Raw genomic sequence first — 17320 nt, forward strand, 5'->3', positions numbered from 1 at the left:
TAAATTTTTTTTTTTTGAGACAGAGTTTCACTCTGTCACCCAGGCTGGAGTGCAGTGGCGTGACCTCGGCTCACTACAACCTCTGCCTTCCGGGTTCACGCCATTCTCCTGCCTCAGCCTCCTGAGTAGCTGGGACTACAGGCACCCACCACCACACCCAGCTAACTTTTTATATTTTTAGTAGAGACGGGGTTTCACCCTGTTAGCCAGGATGGTCTTGATCTCCTGACCTCATGATCCACCCACCTCAGCCTCTCAAAGTGCAGGGATTACAGGTGTGAGCCACGGCGCCTGGCCTAAAAGCATCTTTTTCTTTAATGCAGAGGTTATGTTGTATTATTAGCATAAATGTTTTTTTTCTGGGAATGCTTATTTCACACAGCACAATACTGAATCTTCTCTGGAATGTGGATCGATTTCAGATGGATGACTATTAAAATGTGTATATTTGCAGATTATCCTTAAAGGGCCACCTCATGCCTTCTAATTTATGTCTTACGGATAAAAAATCAAAATGAAGCATAAAGTAAAAACTGTGTCCAGCTTTACAAGTGGACGCTTAGTAATGGCTGAGGCAATATGTTTAATGTAGCAAATTTTACTTATTTGTCATGATCAGTTTTCACAGTGCTTGTAAGTGCTGGTAATAGAAGATGGACATGGTTTAGGTCAAAACTTGGACCAGAAACCAACTTCCTTTGAAACAGCTCTACCAGTTATAAGAGCAATATGCTGTTAGGTGAAGAACTGTTTAACAGAAATATATTATGTTTTTGCAAACAGGCAGCTGATCCAAAATTGTGTTGAAACACCTCAGAAACATAAATGACATCAATACTCTATAAATTAATGCTGTTAACAAATTTAAAAAATAAAACATACAATTTTCAAATTGAAGGCACACATCCCAGTTGGTACTGGCAAGTTTAAATTGTTTCTAATACTGGTGGACTCTTCATTTGTAACCTACTGAGCAGTTACAGAGGGTACTCCCATTGATACAAAATGCTCAGGTACCGGCATTTCTCCACATCCAGAGTTCTTTCTATATTCCCTTCTGATTTCCATCACTTATCTGTTCCCTGCTTTTGTCCTTCCCCAGTCTCACCCCCATCTCTAGCCATGGTAAGTGAGATGGCGGAAGCAGGTGCCTAGAAGCAAGCAGCAGGAAGCAGCATTTTCCCACTCCTCCCAGAGCTCTGGGCTCCCAGACTGTGTTCCTACCTCTGGACAATGCTTTCTCTTCCTCCTGGGCTCAGAGGGCTTCACCAGAGCCTGGACCACCAGTGGTAATAGCTGCATTATTTAGATTTTGCTTCAGGATGCTCAGAGGTTAAGGTTAACTGATCATACTGAACATCATGAACTCCAAAAGCTTTCACTTAATCCTTCAGGTAAAGGAAAATTGAGGCTTGATGACTAAGTTGGTAGTATTAATAACTACATCAGTCACCATATCTGTACAACACAAGGACTCTTAAATTATACCCAAATCATTTCTATTTGGCTTTAGGAAAAAAACAAGATTTCCTTTTCAGCATTTGTTCTGTTTTGGCCAAATAAAAATTGTTTTCTTTCTTCCTCTAAGCTCACCCTACGGCATGTCAGGTAACAAAAGCCAGTCTGCCCAGCCTTCCATCTTTACCTTTGGAAATCGAGACCTGAATGGGTCCCATTCTTTTTCTGTAATCCAACAGAAAATGAAAAAAAAAACAAAAACCACCAAAACTTTTTCCCCCTATTTGGGATTCTAAGAGGACACATGAGTCACATAAGTGCATTTAACTCAGACAACTTTAGATCCTAATGAAATACTAGACAAGAGAGAAAATGGCATGAGTGGACAGTTCTCCCTCGTCACATACTATCCCTCATGGTTGCATGAGGCTGCCTGCTGATGAGATTCAAGCCAACTTAAATGAAGGGCTTCACCACATGAGAACCTTCAATAGCAACGTTTACATCACTGGGGAGTTTATGAGACCCTGAGAGAGGGCAAGAGAGTTTACAACTGAAGAGAAAGTTCCTATTTATTCTCAAATGCCCTGACTAAACTGCTCAAAAGCAGTTTATATTTTCAAACCAATGTCATGTCCTCAACATAAAGTTCAAATTCATTTACTGTCCATGACACTTAAGCATCCAGATCAATAAATTACAATACACATATTCTGTAAGAGTCTTTTATACCAAGAAGCTTGTTTTTGGTCTTCGGCAGTGACATTTCCTCCCCATTCACCACACAAACGCAGCCCGCTCTCGTAACATGCGGACACCAAAGCGCTGCCACTCTCGCTGATAAATCCACAGTTCCTGTGTTGTATCCAAACAAGCCAACACTGCCCCTCCTTTCCATGCAATCAGCCGGGGGTCCATGTCCTACAGAAGGGATGAAGGCATTTCAGCCTAATCACATAAGACATATACTCAATCATTTACTTGAATATGGGGCCGAGAAAAATCCCTGCTGAGTCAATACCTAGTAAGCCAGGCTTTCACCCTGTATTAAAGACAGCAGGATTAAATACAGGCTCACGCCTGTAACCCCAGCACTTTGGGAGGCCGAGGCGGGCAGATCACGAGATCAGGAGATCAAGACCATCCTGGCTAACACGGTGGAATGCCGCCTCTACTAAAAATACAAAAAATTAGCCAGGCGTGGTGGCAGGCACCTGTAGTCCCAGCTACTCAGGAGGCTGAGGCAGGAGAATGGCGTGAACCCGGGAGGCAGAGGTTGCAGTGAGCCAAGATCGCGCCACTGCACTCCAGCCTGGGTGACAGAGTGAGACTCCGTCTCAAAAAAAGACAGTAGGACTTATGAACTACAGGCATCTTTCTGTTTCAATAGCCAAGAAAACTTTTAAATTTTTATAACTGAAGATGCTACTATTTACTACTATTGCACAAATACCCTATTTACCCTGTACACAGGAACATATATAAATAAATGACTTACTTATTTCGCAGTTTGAGTGGAATAAATAGATCCCCACAATCCCTCCCTCAGGATTAAAAAGAAATAGGAACATTTCCAGGAATTGTCAGTGAGATTTAATAAAACACACAAAATCTATTTCTAAATTCCTGGGTTTATCTTTCTTTTCAAGATAGTTCAAACCAAAAAGATCCTTAAAGATCATCTGGTCCAGGGAGCAGAAGGAGATCCTTAATATAAAAAAGAGATTAAAATGGAGCTGTTCTGGCTGGCAGGGCTTGAGAGCAGTTGGTCCTCCCCTTGCCCCACCTGATCCTTTAACAAAGGTGGAATTCAGTCATGCTAGTTTGGGGAGCACGGCAGGGGAAAGCAGCAGAAATCCAGTACCTTAGGCCAGAGCACCTTCCACCACATCTATGGCTTGCTGAAATTAACTTTTCCACTTGCCCTAAGCCCTCAAGAACTCCTCAGACACAAGCCCATGCCTCCCAGGATTTGATCTGTCCACATACAAGGCTGGTTTCATTTGCATACAGTCCAACTTGCACAATGAAACAACCTACCTTAGGCCTTGTGATCACATCCACATTTTCAATAATTCGCCTGAAGGATGGTGGCATTTTGTTGAGAATTCTGTGCTGCAGAAATTCTTGAGCTTTATGAAACATCAAACCACCTCCCACCACTAGGATGGAGCTGTACATCTTCTTTTTGGTGTCGTCAGATGCTGAAAAGACAGTTGACATCCTCCATGCTTTTTTCTCCACATCCATAATTCTAGGCCAAGCCACCAACACCTCTTGCTTGAGCAAGTGCAATAGCCTTCTCAAAGATTTCCCTCCAGCCCACCCTCCACACTGCAGCCAGGGGAACCCTACGAAACACAAATGTAGGCATGTTGCCACGCCACCGCAATCCTACTTGCAGGATTAGGATCAAAATCTTTAAAGGAGGCCGAGCATGGTGGCTCACGCCTGTAATCCCAGCACTTTGGGAGGCCAAGGCAGGCAGATCACGAGGTCAGGAGTTCGAAACCAGCCTGGCCAACATAGTGAAACCCTGTCTCTACTAAAAATACAAAAAGTAGCCGGGCATGGTAGCGTGCGCCTGTAGTCCCAGCTACTCGGGAGGCTGAGGCAGGAGAATCACTTGAACCCAGGAGGCAGAGGTTGTGGTGAGCCGCAATCACGCCATTGCACTCTAGCCTGGGCAATGGAGTGAGACTCTGAAAAATAAATAAATAAAATCTTTAAAGGGACCCACAAGATCCACTACGGGTGGTCGTCCCCTGCTTCTCTAGCCTCATCCTCACACCCTGCTTCCCAGCCACACAGGTCTTCACAGGCTTCTTCCTCTACCCCATCTGTGACTGCTAACTGACCCCTTTCATCCTTTACATCTCTCTCAAGGTCTGCCTTCCTCAAGGAAGCTTTCCCTGCCTCCCACCTTCCATACCATCCCCTAGTGAGTAAAGATTCTATGTGAAATTCCTCAAATTATTACACAAATGTGAAAGTACCACTGGCAGGTGCTACAAAGTTTATCTAAAGGGTACTGACTGCTTAGTAGTGGCCTGCCAGTGGTAATTTCACATTTGTGTAATAATCTGACTTATTTTGGCCTCTTCCACTAGGCTATAAACCCATCCTACTTCGTTAATGTATTCCCAACACCTGGCAATGCAAGCCAAGTAGGCGCTTAATCACTTTTCAATGAATATGTTATACTGCACAAGTATATCCTAGACTGAACCAATTTATTTAACTGCTATCTTGTTTCACTGCTATCTCCCGGTCTCCCCAGATGTGCTTACAACAGCAGTCTATGCTATGGAGGATGGCTTTATCCAGGCCCAGGGCTTTTCCTTCAAACAGCGAGATGGCAGTCTTCCTGGACATCAGTGCAGTGAGGGCCTCCTCGGAATCGTTGCCGGCCATCAGGCCATCTCCCTGTGCAGACCCCAAATCTACCTCCTGGGAATGGAGTCTTTCTGGAAGATCAGAGGACTGGCCACGAAGATCCCCTTCAAATCCAATAGGTTTGGATGCAGACTTTCGGTCAGCAGTAGCTTTTGCAGACTTTAAATCAAAAGGACAATCAAGTATGTGGTATTACAACAACAGAACACTATTGATGTTGTCTAGCTAGATCCCTCCCTACCCTACTACTATAAAACAAAAGCCACACAGCAATACAACAACTGCCCAGCACCCATTCCCAGGTAACTTAGGAATGAGAGACGGTGCACAGATGAAGATGCTTTGACCATTCCAAAGCAAGGTAGCTGCTGGTAGGCAGGGTAGCTCTCAGAACCTTATCATCACTGGTTAGATTTTAAAAGTGAAATACCAGTGCAGACAGACTTTCTTCCCCGTGCCCTGAGTTTTTAAATGGAGTATTCCAGTGGGATTCATGGGCCATGACTGTTAAGGAATTCTTACTTTCAGATCCTATGAGTCCACCTCATGCCTGCCTCTGGGGAGGAACAAAGACTAGAAAATCTAGTCTCCATCATGAGCTGGTACTGTTTCATTAGCAGACAAGACCTTCAATTTGTGCCCCTGTACCAGACATCATATTATGGGGATCCACTTTCAACAAAGGAATTCAGCTCTTTGGCTATGCCACACATCTTTCACAAAATTAAGTAACAGGTGAGATTTTAATGAAAATACTACTGAAAAAATATTCAGAAGTAGATAATGTAAGTAAATGATATACACCAAAAGGAAAGTGTCATTAACTTTTAAATGTATGGACTAGCATTCAGAAAATTAATGTTTGCTGAATAGAGAAATATGTCTTCCAGATTTTAAACTCAGACTTCAGTTCATCTACAATTCTAAAAGCTATATCAGTGTTATTATGCTGGAAGATAGAACTGATTACAATGGCCTATTAACTCTGGACAAATTTCTCCTTCAGGGACAAAACTCTCTCTTCTCCTACCAGAATTGCTACGGACCTGTTCTTGTTTGCTCTGTGTGGCCAGCAGGTAATGTTCATCGTGAGGATCCTCAGGATCGCCCTGAGATCTGTGCTGCAAAGTCGTCATTTTCTGTCCAACGATTCCAAAAGTTGCGGGGTAAAACAAAGCCATTGGAGCCTGTACATGAAGAAAAAGAGTGATCAACAAAAGATACTGCATCCTGAAAAAAACTGATCCACTAAATTCTGTTCTTCTAAAAACAAAACTGGCAGATCAGATTCCCTAAGTTAGACTGGGCAATGTTCTCTTTCGGGAGTGGCATTATTTCTCTGGTGCACCATAGGCCAGAAAACTCACTCATCATCCAACCAGATGGGTGATATGACACCATATGAGAGAAATCTCAAAGCAAATATCAAGTACCTCAAAATCTACTTCATAATTTCCTAGTAAGAATGATACCTTTCTTTCTAATTAACACCTCATCATATAGGGGCTAAATAGAAAGATATTCTTCAGATCCATTCTAGTCTATACCAGTGGCTTAAATGTTGGTTTAGTGGATAATCTACAATCAGTTGACATTCTGATCTCACAATGTTTCCAGCAAGGGCATATTCTCTCAGTTTGATTGAACCTGGATAACTTTCTTTCTACCCATGGAAACAGATACCTATAAGTTACCTGCAGTTTTTCATCTCCTAATCGAAACTGGTAAAGCAGGGCAGGAGAATCAGGATGTCGAATCTGAAACTCATGGTCCTGAAGCCCAGAGATGTCCTGATTCCAGGAAAAGATGCTGTCAGTGAATCAGTAAGAATGCATGTAAACTCTTCAAATTATGCTTCAGCCTCACCATCATCTAAATATCACCTATAAAAAGGCCAACCTACAGCTTTGTACCACTCACACTATAATTTAGTAAAATAGGAATTAAGTTGTACTTTGTTCCCCTATTTAACATTTCTGGAATTTCCACTGTTTGCATTATTTGTTTTCTCCATTATCAACATACATTAGTACAACAATGACCCAAATCAATAAGCAAATTCCCTCAGTAACTGGGAAATTTACAGTATTTTTGTTTCCCCAATTTTTTAATATTTAGATTACCTGAAAAAAGTAAAAACAAGTCTCAAACAAAAAAAGGATACCAATCCATATATAGCAATGATTAAACATTGATTGTTTGCAATATTAAGAAAGTGCTTCAAATTATAACATTTAACAAAATGTCTGTTCTTACATATTTACCTACTATCTTCCTTACACCTAAAGGTTTATCTTCATCTTTTATCAGGATGAGACAGAGAAATTTGCTAAACTTGTTCCCTAAAAAAATCAAACTTTTCCTGAGCCTAAGACACACCCTCACTGCTCGGACTTTAGCAAAAAACTCTCACTCCTTAAGGGCTTTCACCTGCAGGCTTTATCGTGGGTTGAAAAAGGCATTATAATGCTGTTACTTCATTTTATTTATTTATTTATTTATTTTGAGATGGAGTCTCGCTTTGTCGCCGAGGCTGGAGTGCAGTGGTGCAATCTCGGCTCACTGCAAGCTCCACCTTCCAGGTTCACGCCATTCTCCCGCCTCAGCCTCCCGAGTAGCTGGGACTACAGGTGCCCGCCACCACGCCCGGCTAATTTTTTGTATTTTTATTAGAGACGGAGTTTCACCGTGTTAGCCAGGATGGTCTTGATCTCCTGACCTCATGATCCACCCACCTCGGCCTCCCAAAGTGCTGGGATTACAGGCATGAGCCACCGTGCCCAGCCAATGCTGTTACATTTTTAAGTATCTTTTAAATCTCTTAAATTTTTCCTAGAAACAAAAATAATCAGCAATATTGATTCTGCTCCCACCTGATCTAAATGACAAAAAGTTTCTTTAAGGTGTTGCAGAAGAAGACAATCCATTTTATTTGTTAACTGGCATTCTCTGTAAGGGAACCCAGCTCGCTGCATTAGCCAGTAAAAACATCTTGACACATCAGATCCTCCGTATGCCAGACAAAGCCTAAAGTTAAGAGAAAAGGGTAGATGGTTAATCTGTTGGTTAAGAAGGTGCAAAAGGTGTTTGAAGAAATCCATTAATGGCTGGGCATGGTGGTTCCTGCCTGTAATCCCAGCACTTTGGGAGGCTGAGATGAGCAGATCACTTGAGGCCAGGAGTTCAAGACCAGCTGGCCAATATGGCGAAACCCTGTCTCTACTAAAAATACAAAAATTAGCCAGGCATGGTGGTGCACACCTGTAATCCCAGCTACTCGGGAGGCTGAGGCACGAGAATTGCTTGAACCCAGGAGGAAGAGGTTGCAGTGAGCCAAGAGGTCACGCCACTGCACTGCAGCCTGGGTGACAGAGTAAGATTCTATCTAAAAAAAAAAAAGAAACACAAAAAACAAACAAAAATGTCCATTAAACACAGTGATATATAGCAAGTTTCAAGAAATGTATGTTGAAAGGCCAGAATGAATGGATGGAAGAAGGGAGAAAAGGAACTTCAGCAAAAACCAGTGGGGAACACCTACAGTAGTCATGATGTTTGCAAAATGTATCTGAGAAACCCAATACTCACCCATTAAATCCAGCTTACTTCCCAGTCAATATGTGTTTATCATATGACAGTTGTTTGGTGGTCTACACTCACTAGCATGTAAGGCAGCAATGACAATATAAGACAAACTTATGGGAGAATAGCTTAGAGAAAGCTGTCTACTAACTGAAGGTTTCTACAATTTGGGAAGACAGCTGCTATATTATTTTATTGGTAGGAAACCTGGGTCCAGCATTTTCTCCACACTTTGAGAACAAGTGGCATTGGATATTCTAACAATGGATGAGCCAAATAACTCAAAATGGATTTTAGAATGTACTAGAACTTGGGGCGGGAGGCAGCAGATGACCCTTTCTCATGGACGATTTAAGCCCTCTTTTAAAGACTCAAACTACCTAATGTGGAGGACGGGAAGAATGAAAGCATCCTGAGGGGCAGCAAGAAGCCATCTCTGGAGCACAAAATGCTTCAGAGAGCCCATACCTGCATTACCTGAGTGTGCTTACATATGTTAGGCTTGCCTGAAGAAGGACAAGCTGCAAATCTGGTCCTGATAGTTATTTTCTTTACCTGTCTATCATCATAAAGTTACTCACCCGCAGAACACCACTATGACAAAAAATGCAGATATTCAAAACACTGGCCAGAGAATTCAGATTGAAAAGGTCGATTTTCTCCTACATGACTTGCCTAAATAAAGCTCTGCTATAAGGATGTGATTAGTAGCTCTATGCCAAACCACAGCTAAAGACACGAAGCTACTGTTTACGTTTCCCCTATGGGAAAGCGCATAAAACATCCCAGGACTTTCAGGGGCTGCTGATGTAAATTCCTATTAAGAAGTTCCAATGGGAAGGGTAAAATGATTCGTTTTAGTTTTAGCCTTGCTAGAATATGCACTTCCATAATCTTGCTGGTTTACCATGCAGACTTTTGAATTTATGGTTATCTTATAATTTTTAACCTGTGATTTCTTATTATTTACGGTTGAACAGATTATGAGGGAAGAGGAAACAGGGAATGCCACCTTCCAAGTTCCTTACCGAGTATTCCGATGAGACACCCCATCCTCCACACAGCATACACTTGTCTTCTGGTCCCCAACGTCTACAATACACGTGCTGCTTAAGCCACTTCCATAGGTGGCACACACAGACTCCTGATGGACCACAATCCCTGGGGGGGGAAAAGAAAAGGCAGAGTAGTCATTAGCTGTAGCACGGTAAAGATCCCAAAACAGATAATCAGCTGAAGCGGGGAGCCTAGGGACCTCTGGGCAGGGCATCTGAGGAACACTGATCCTTTCAGAATAAGCATTTAAATAAGTCAGTAGGCCCGGCGCGGTGGCTCACGTCTGTAATCCCAGCACTTTGGGAGGCCAAGGTGGGAGGATCACGAGGTCAGGAGATGGAGACGATCCTGGCTAACACAGTGAAACCCTGTATCTACTAAAAAATACAAAAAATTAGCTGGGCATGGTGGCGGGTGCCTGTAGTCCCAGCCAATCAGGAGGCTGAGGCAGGAGAGTGGCGTGAACCCGGGAGGTGGAGCTTGCAGTGAGCTGAGATAGCGCCACTGCACTCCAGCCTGGGCGACAGAGAGAGACTCTGTCTCAAATAAATAAATAAATAAATAAGTCAGTAAATAAGATTAACTCTGTCATTAAAGAAAGAAAATTCCATTTAAAATAGGTTTCACTGGGATATCAGACATACCTGAAAAACCCATCTTCATTAGTATCATATTCACTAGTTCTTTCACATGCTGCTTATTATAGATATCAGGAATTAACAAGATACATCTATAATACTAAAAAGAAGAACAAAGATAAAAGGGTTAGCACTCAAGTCTAGTCAGGTCAAATTCACACTCCTTTTTAGAGAGACTTCCCTCCAAAGGAGTAGCAGCTACGGTTACACACCCAGATTAAAGCTCAAACCTCTGTACTATCCTTTGGGTTTTATAAGGAAAAAAAAAATGCTCAAGTGTTTTTTTTTCCTTGAAATTTTTAAAAACTTGTAAAATCAAAAATAAGACAACTGATGTGTCAGTAAGGTCCAAAGAGAAGACAAAAATGAGCAAGCTTGCTGATTCGAGTAATAGAGACACCAAAGAAACAGAGAAAGAAAAAAAGCACCAGAAGGGAATTAAGTGAAGAAGAAAAGACATCCTCATGCCACCAAGAATCCTCACCCTGAAGGTCAAGAATGTTTCAAGAAGGACACTATATTACAAACAACTCGGTAACGTGTACTTTCATTGACCAAGAATCTTAAAAACAATCCAAATAACTGAGGATTTTAGCTCACCTTTAAATCTTTCAGTGGGATTTCCAAGTATTTTTGTATCGCATGAGACCATATTACTTCAATATCTGCCAGAACAGCTGTAAGAGAGCCCCCAGGGCCTGGGTGAATATTTAACTGACCTCTTCTGATAGGCCAGTGAATATTGTAACAGTCCAGTGGATTAACATACAAGGCCTAGAAAAGGAGGAGGGAGATGAGTACTTTGTTAAAACTTTTCTCTCAAGGTTTTCTGGATTCATATCCAAAAATCTAACTAACGTTTGCTGAATGTGAGAAATGTTGAGAGTGAAGTAGGAGTCGGTGTGACTATCTGGTACTCAAAGCAGGGTTATAGAACGCTAGGAAACAACTAGGACTGGGTGGCAACGTAAATGAATTTTAGGAGGAGGATCAGCTTCCCCTTCTTTCATTCTATTGTAAAGAAGTTTCTTACCTCTTCTCCTACTAAATACTCAGGGTGATGAGATGTGTTTGTCCACTTATTTCCCGAACAGTGATCTAAAATTGCAGGTCGCATCTGCTTATTGTAGGAGCGTGCCTGAAAAGAAAAACCATCAGAAAATTATCTCAATTTATTCAAGGCGGGGGCAACATAAGGGTCTCCTTTTCTTCTCTCTCACATACTAGACACATTGGCAAATTTTAATCACAAATATTTGGCAAAATATTGACTGGCTGCAAAAGGATTCTCTTGTCCTTTTTACAATCTTGGGGTTCTTTTTCCCCCAATTTTAACACCTAGGCTGTGATTCACAGCCAGTCCAAAATTAACACTAAACGCTGCTTAAAGCTGAATTCAAATTTATATGTAATACAGACTCCTGTCCATTCCTATCATATTGGTTTATCATATGAAATTGAAGAATGTAGTAAGAACAGTTTCCCACCAAGATCCTGGAATCACACCTTCTCAGGTAAAGTATAAACTTCCATCAACTTGCCTACCACCACCTTATAAATTATGTGGCTTGCCTAAGCATTTGTAACACTGACTCGGGTATTCTTTAAGTGGTTATGAGGGGTTTTCTTCCTTTTTAAGGAACTCCCATCTTGTATTTGCATAGTGGTATAGGAAGAACATGTGAATGGTATTATGATACCAATAGTGGTGATAAAAGAATAAATCTGAAGAGTTAATCGAACCTGTTCAGGGGACACAGGAATGCGTCTTGTACCATTGGACATCTTTTTAGACCATATTGCTTGATCCACCATTTTAAGGCCATTTTGTCTTTGTTCATTACTTTCTGGTTTCTGGGGAAAAAATGAAAGATGAGCAGTACAAAGGATTTAATGAGAAGACAAAGCAATTCAAAAACTACTAATTTAATCCAATCTTTGGAAATGCTCCTTCATCAACAAGTAGCGTTTCCTTAATCTTTATCACATGTACTGCTCTTAAGAATTCCCTCTAGCCTGGGCAACATGGCAAAACACCATCTCTACAAAAAATACAAGAAATTAGCTGGGTGTGGTGGCACAGGCCTGTGGTCCCAGCTACTTGGGAGACTAAGGTGGAAAGATTGCTTGAGCCCAGGAGGTGGAAGGTGCAATGAGCCGAGATCGCACCACTGTACTCCAGCCTGAAGAAGAGAGCAAGACCCTGTCTCAAGAAAAGAAAAAAAGAATTCCCAGGAATCTTTTATTATAAATAAGTCAAAAGCAGCCCTCACTATAAAACAACTATATGCAAAATTTTCAAGTGATTTTTCATAAAATTTCTCACAGCACTAATCAAAGCATACCTACTTCATGTTTAAAAAATATTTCAGAGACTCTTCCATACAATTATATAATTCTTATGTTTACAGTTTTGACAATGACACATTCCTTCATATGTTGATCAGCAAGGCTTAAACTTTTTGGTTAAGCCATAAACTTACTGGTTCTCGTTATTATAGTATAAAGAAAATGCCCATAAATATCTTTACAGAAATGTTTTCTTTTGATTTTTATTTCTTAAACGTACTCCCTAAAGTAGAATTATAAGATCCAAAGATAAATAATGAAGTGCGGACTCTTATATCAGCAAGTTATATTTAAACTTACAACTAGACTTACGTAGAGTCTGCTTGTTACACTAAAAAATGGAACCCTAAGGCCTACTATCAGAATTAAAGAAACTTTACATTCCCAAAACTATCCTTGACTTAAAACTTCAAAGTAAAATGTGGATTATGATGTAATATATAGATTTATCATTGATCACAAAGAATTTTCCTGATAATTACCATCTGCAACATAGGATAAAGTAGATGCTTACTGCAAGAAAATTTTTTTTTTGCCTTGAAATTATGGTTAATCTAAGACCATAATAAGTGCTTATTGTAACAATCTAATTTGCTAATGGATTGAAAATAAGAGTTTGACTTATTGACTTAAACTGTAAGTATCTGAAAGAGATATTTACAGTTTAAATATGGCTTAATCCATAAGTTTAAGCCTGTTAACAAGGACCTGAATGTATTACTGTGAGTGATGATTTTGTGTCTTCCATTATAGATCACCTTCATCCACACTCAATTCACCCTGAAAGACTTACTTTTGTTGTAACTAATTCTTTACATCTAAAGTCACTAGCTCTGATGAAAAATTAGTGACATTATTAATGTTTTAAAACACAGCAAAGCTATGAAGATGTTTCTTTAAGATTCTGGTGTACTTGTGTCTAAGCCCTCCCAGGGAAACAACCTTAGGCTTTCTCTCCAGGTCGTTTTTGACTTACATTTAGTCCCTCCCTTAGGAGCCAACTGTCCTTGTATAGGGGCTGCCCTTGTTGTTTGTGTCTTCGGGCAATGACGTGAGGAATGCTGGCAGGAAGAGTGTCTGTGGCTCGACCAATCCTTAAAGTTGTTGAACCTGGATGTATGACAATGATGAAGTTGCTCTGGATTTGCTGCAGATATAAAACATAGATGTGTGACTTTGTAAATAATATGCAGGTAACAAAGTTAAACAACATACACATAACAAGCTAAACTAAGAAGCTGACTCAAAGGTATCAAAATAATTCAATAAAGTTCTTTGAGAAGTATCCAATTACCGCTCTCTACCTAAACACAAACTCATTGTTTATTATGTTCCCTTGACCTGAGTTATAGTACATAGCTCAACAAATATTTGTTTAAATAAATGAAACAAAAATTGTCCACTACAAATTAACATACAGTTATTGAGCATTTATGTGACTGAAGAAATGTTGCTATAGAATCCGGGCCCAGGCTCTGAATTCACGGATCTGTCTGCAAATTCAGACTGCCACTTCCTTGCTCTGAATGAAGCTCCTAACTCACAGTTACTGTGAGAATTAAATGAGTTATACATGTAACTCAGAGCTGGGCCACAGGAAGCATTCGAGGAATGTTGGCTCTTACTATAGTAAAGCCTTTCAACGTGATCCACTGCCTTCACAAGAGGTCAGACTCTGTGGCTTACACGACCCTCATGATATGGCCCCTGCTAAGATCTTCAGTCCCCTTCCTTAACTCCAGACATCCTAATCTACTGGCTGGGCCTCCAACACTTCACATCCTCTGTTGGCACAAGTGTCTTCCACACTGTTCTTCTTCCCTGAGATTCCCTCCTCCCTCTGGTTAGCTCCTAATCACCTTCAGGACTCTAAACAGATGTCACCTCACCTCCTTTGAAGAAACCCTCCCTGACTGTCGGGGATGGAGGAGGTACTTGCTTGAGTGCCCAATACTGCCCTCTGCACAAGCCCATTCCATGCCATGCTCTGATACCTGTTGTCCTATCTCCAAGTGTGACCTCTCTCCTCCTAATCACCCCCCACAGAGTGGGAGAATCCTAGAGGGAAGGATCTGGCAAGGCCCTTACAGACCATCCAGTCAGCCTTCTCAACTAGACAGATGGAGAAACCAGGCCTGTGCAACAGTAATGGCCACTCTGGGCTTACGGTGTGCCAGGCACTGTCATACTAGTGATAACTAACTAGTAGCTGCCCTACTAGTTAGGTATTATCCTTAACCCATCTACCGGTAAGGAAGCTGGATCAGAGATGTCCTACATGAATTTCTGAGCAGTTTATGCCTCATTTCTTCTGTGAATTGTACACTGCCTGTGCCCGTTTTCCTACGTGAATGCTGTTTTAGTTACTGATCAGTAAGGTTTTGTGTATGTGTATACATCTAAGGTCCTCTGCCAGGCACGCTACTGCAAATAATTTTTTCTGGTTAGTTTAGTTTGGTCTAATAGTGTTGTTTTTGATACACAAGCTCTTAATATATATTTAGACAAATGTCCACCATTTCCTTGCTTTTAAGCTTGAAATGACTTCCATTATCTGAGATTTCCTTAACAAAGGAAAAAGCCTGGACCCCAAACTATCCCTTAACAAGCACAGGCTGACGCTCCCAGTGAGCCAGCCTGGTCCTAAACTCTATCTGCCACCATTTAACCCTCACGGCAACTTGCGAGGCGGCTGGTTATCACCGTGGTCGTTTTATGGTCGGGGAAGCTGAGGCCAGAGCCCGGGCAGGAGCGCACACAACCAGACGGTGGGGCGTGCGGGAGATCGGAGCGGTGTCCCTGCGGGGGCTCCGCCTGGCTCCTGGCGCTCCGCACCTCCCAGCCCTCGGCGTCCCGGCGCGCCACCACCCGGAAAAGAACGACCGCTTCCGCACTCCCCCCACCAGGGGCTGGGGCCTGCAAGGGGGACTCGAAGCCTCCCGCCGCCTCCCGCCCCTTGCCTGGCAGCGGAGGACCCAAGCAAGGGCAAAGAGTTCCAACCCAGCCAGAGCCGCACCTCTTGCAGCGACTCCGGCACCAGCGCGGGCACGATGGGCCGCTTCACGCCGCGCTGCTCCTTCTCCTTCTCGCCGCCCTTCTCCTTTCCGTTCTCCGTATCACCCTTCTCAGCCTGGGTCATTATGGCCGGAGACACCCACCAACCTCTCGCCTCAGCGCTGCAGCCACGACTGCCGGGATGGAAGGGCCACCGCGCAGGCGCACGGCCGGCTGCCCACAGTCAAGATGGCCGCCGCGGAGTCGCCCCAGAGGGCTCCGAAAAGGCGGGGGTGGGGCTGCCCGGCGCAGGGGCTGGGGGCGGGGTGTGCATGCGGATTGATTGGGTGGGTGTTGCTGTGATTAGTCCTGACTGTGTAGATGCCAGCAACATAGTACACATAGCTTTTCGAGCGCCTAGTGGGGGTCGGCTGATAACCCGCATCTTATTTCGTCCTCACAGGCATCTCTTCTCCTGGCTTCCCAGATACCATATGTACTCTTAGTTTTTCTCATATGTCTTCATGTTCAGTCCAGCCTCTGATGTTGGGGTTAGGTCTTTTCCAGGCACACTCCTTGGGTGACTATCCAGTTTCCTGGCTTTAGCAATGAATACGATTCCCAAATATATATATCCAGGATGAACCGCTCAGAGAGATCCGTACTGATAACCAGTGCCTACTTGGTCTCTCCATCTGGATTGTCTACAAGGCACTGCAAACTTAAATATGTCCAAAATTTAACTCTTGATTCCCTCCCCTCTCACTTTCACCATCTCAGTAAATGTCATTTTGATTCTTCACTTGTTGACAGCTTCTACATCCAATCCATCAGTAAATCCTGCAGTCTCTAAAATAGATCTTGAATTCATCCACTTCTCCATTCCCATGCCACTACCTAGCCCAAGCCACTATCATCTCACCTGGATGACTACAACAGCCTCTTAACTCGAACTCCTTGTCCTGTCCCCCTATGATCTGTTCTTATATAGTTGCCCACGTTGTTTTAAAATATTACGTAGTTAATACTACTATGTACCCAGCACTCCACTAAGACTTACCTCAAAAATTAGATGTCACTCATGCTTTAAACTCTAATGGTTTCCCTTTGCTCAAAGAACAGAATCTAAACTAACCACCACCTAAAGACCATATCTAGTTATTGCTACATTTCTAAGTTCACCTCACAACACTCTCCCCATTCCTTGGCATTTCCAGCTACACCTGTTTTATCTTTCTCAGACATGCCAAGCCCTTCCCGTCATCGGGCTGTTGCACTTGCTGTTCATTTTGCCTTGGATGCTCTTCCCTCAGCTGTCTCATTCTCACGTCTGAACTCAAATGTCACCTCAGGCCTTCCGCAGTTATTCTCTCATCATCCTATTCCCTTTGAAGCATGAAGCATTAGTCTGTAATTATCATGCCTGCTCACTGTCTCCCACACTAGAATGTAAGCTCCGTGAGACTTTGCCAGTTATCTTCAGCACATGGTAGGTGCCCAATAAGCATGTGATGACTAAATACTAAATAAAGAACTCTTGGAGGTAAAAATTTAATCCCCGTTTTACAGGTGAGTGAAGTGGGATAAAATGGCATAATTCACTCAAGATCATAAGCTATTGAGTAGCAAAGACAAGAGTTAAGCATAAAGTACTCAAGAACCTGTGTTTTACATTCTATCTGAAGTGCAAAGAAGAATACCTGAATGTCAAATGCAGCCAGAACTCTGGGATAAGACCCGAGGAACAAGTCCTGCAGCAGCAGTGCTAGGAGGCAGAAGAGGACCATGGTTCACATGCTCAGGAAGAGCCATCAGTAACAACAATCAACCACCTACTGAGACTCTGC

At 42.4% G+C, this 17320-nt stretch overlaps 1 protein-coding gene across 5 annotated transcripts in view, besides 3 other annotated features; it reads right to left on the bottom strand.

The window, feature by feature from the left end:
• Positions 1-15669, bottom strand: part of ACTR8 (actin related protein 8) — a 23161-nt gene extending 7492 nt beyond the window's left edge. Inside the window, exons 1-13 of one of the 5 annotated variants that reach the window (XM_005265587.6) lie at positions 15496-15669; positions 13456-13626; positions 11874-11984; positions 11164-11268; positions 10731-10904; positions 10137-10230; positions 9465-9597; positions 7728-7881; positions 6549-6644; positions 5901-6041; positions 4749-5013; positions 3499-3662; positions 2191-2379 (exon numbers count right to left, since the gene is read on the bottom strand). In XM_005265587.6, coding sequence (XP_005265644.1) covers positions 2236-2379; positions 3499-3662; positions 4749-5013; positions 5901-6041; positions 6549-6644; positions 7728-7881; positions 9465-9597; positions 10137-10230; positions 10731-10904; positions 11164-11268; positions 11874-11984; positions 13456-13626; positions 15496-15618 — 1875 coding nt within the window. In that variant the 5' untranslated portion in view covers positions 15619-15669 and the 3' untranslated portion in view covers positions 2191-2235. Of the gene's footprint in view, positions 1-582; positions 2380-3498; positions 3663-4748; positions 5014-5900; positions 6042-6548; positions 6664-7727; positions 7882-9464; positions 9598-10136; positions 10231-10730; positions 10905-11163; positions 11269-11873; positions 11985-13455; positions 13627-15182; positions 15357-15495 lie in introns of those variants that run through there. The other 4 variants (NM_022899.5, NM_001410774.1, XM_047449239.1 and 1 more) reach the window with 4 other exon arrangements.
• Positions 15296-15405: a silencer, noted in NCBI's record as "silent region_14468". NCBI's record gives its function as "represses an Ori minimal core promoter by ATAC-STARR-seq in GM12878 lymphoblastoid cells {active_cell/tissue: GM12878}" and the evidence as "EXISTENCE:reporter gene assay evidence [ECO:0000049][PMID:35858748]".
• Positions 15556-15635: an enhancer, noted in NCBI's record as "active region_19974". NCBI's record gives its function as "activates an Ori minimal core promoter by ATAC-STARR-seq in GM12878 lymphoblastoid cells {active_cell/tissue: GM12878}" and the evidence as "EXISTENCE:reporter gene assay evidence [ECO:0000049][PMID:35858748]".
• Positions 15796-15885: a silencer, noted in NCBI's record as "silent region_14469". NCBI's record gives its function as "represses an Ori minimal core promoter by ATAC-STARR-seq in GM12878 lymphoblastoid cells {active_cell/tissue: GM12878}" and the evidence as "EXISTENCE:reporter gene assay evidence [ECO:0000049][PMID:35858748]".

Source organism: Homo sapiens, chromosome 3, assembly GCF_000001405.40.
Source record: "Homo sapiens chromosome 3, GRCh38.p14 Primary Assembly".
NCBI lineage: Eukaryota > Metazoa > Chordata > Mammalia > Primates > Hominidae > Homo > Homo sapiens.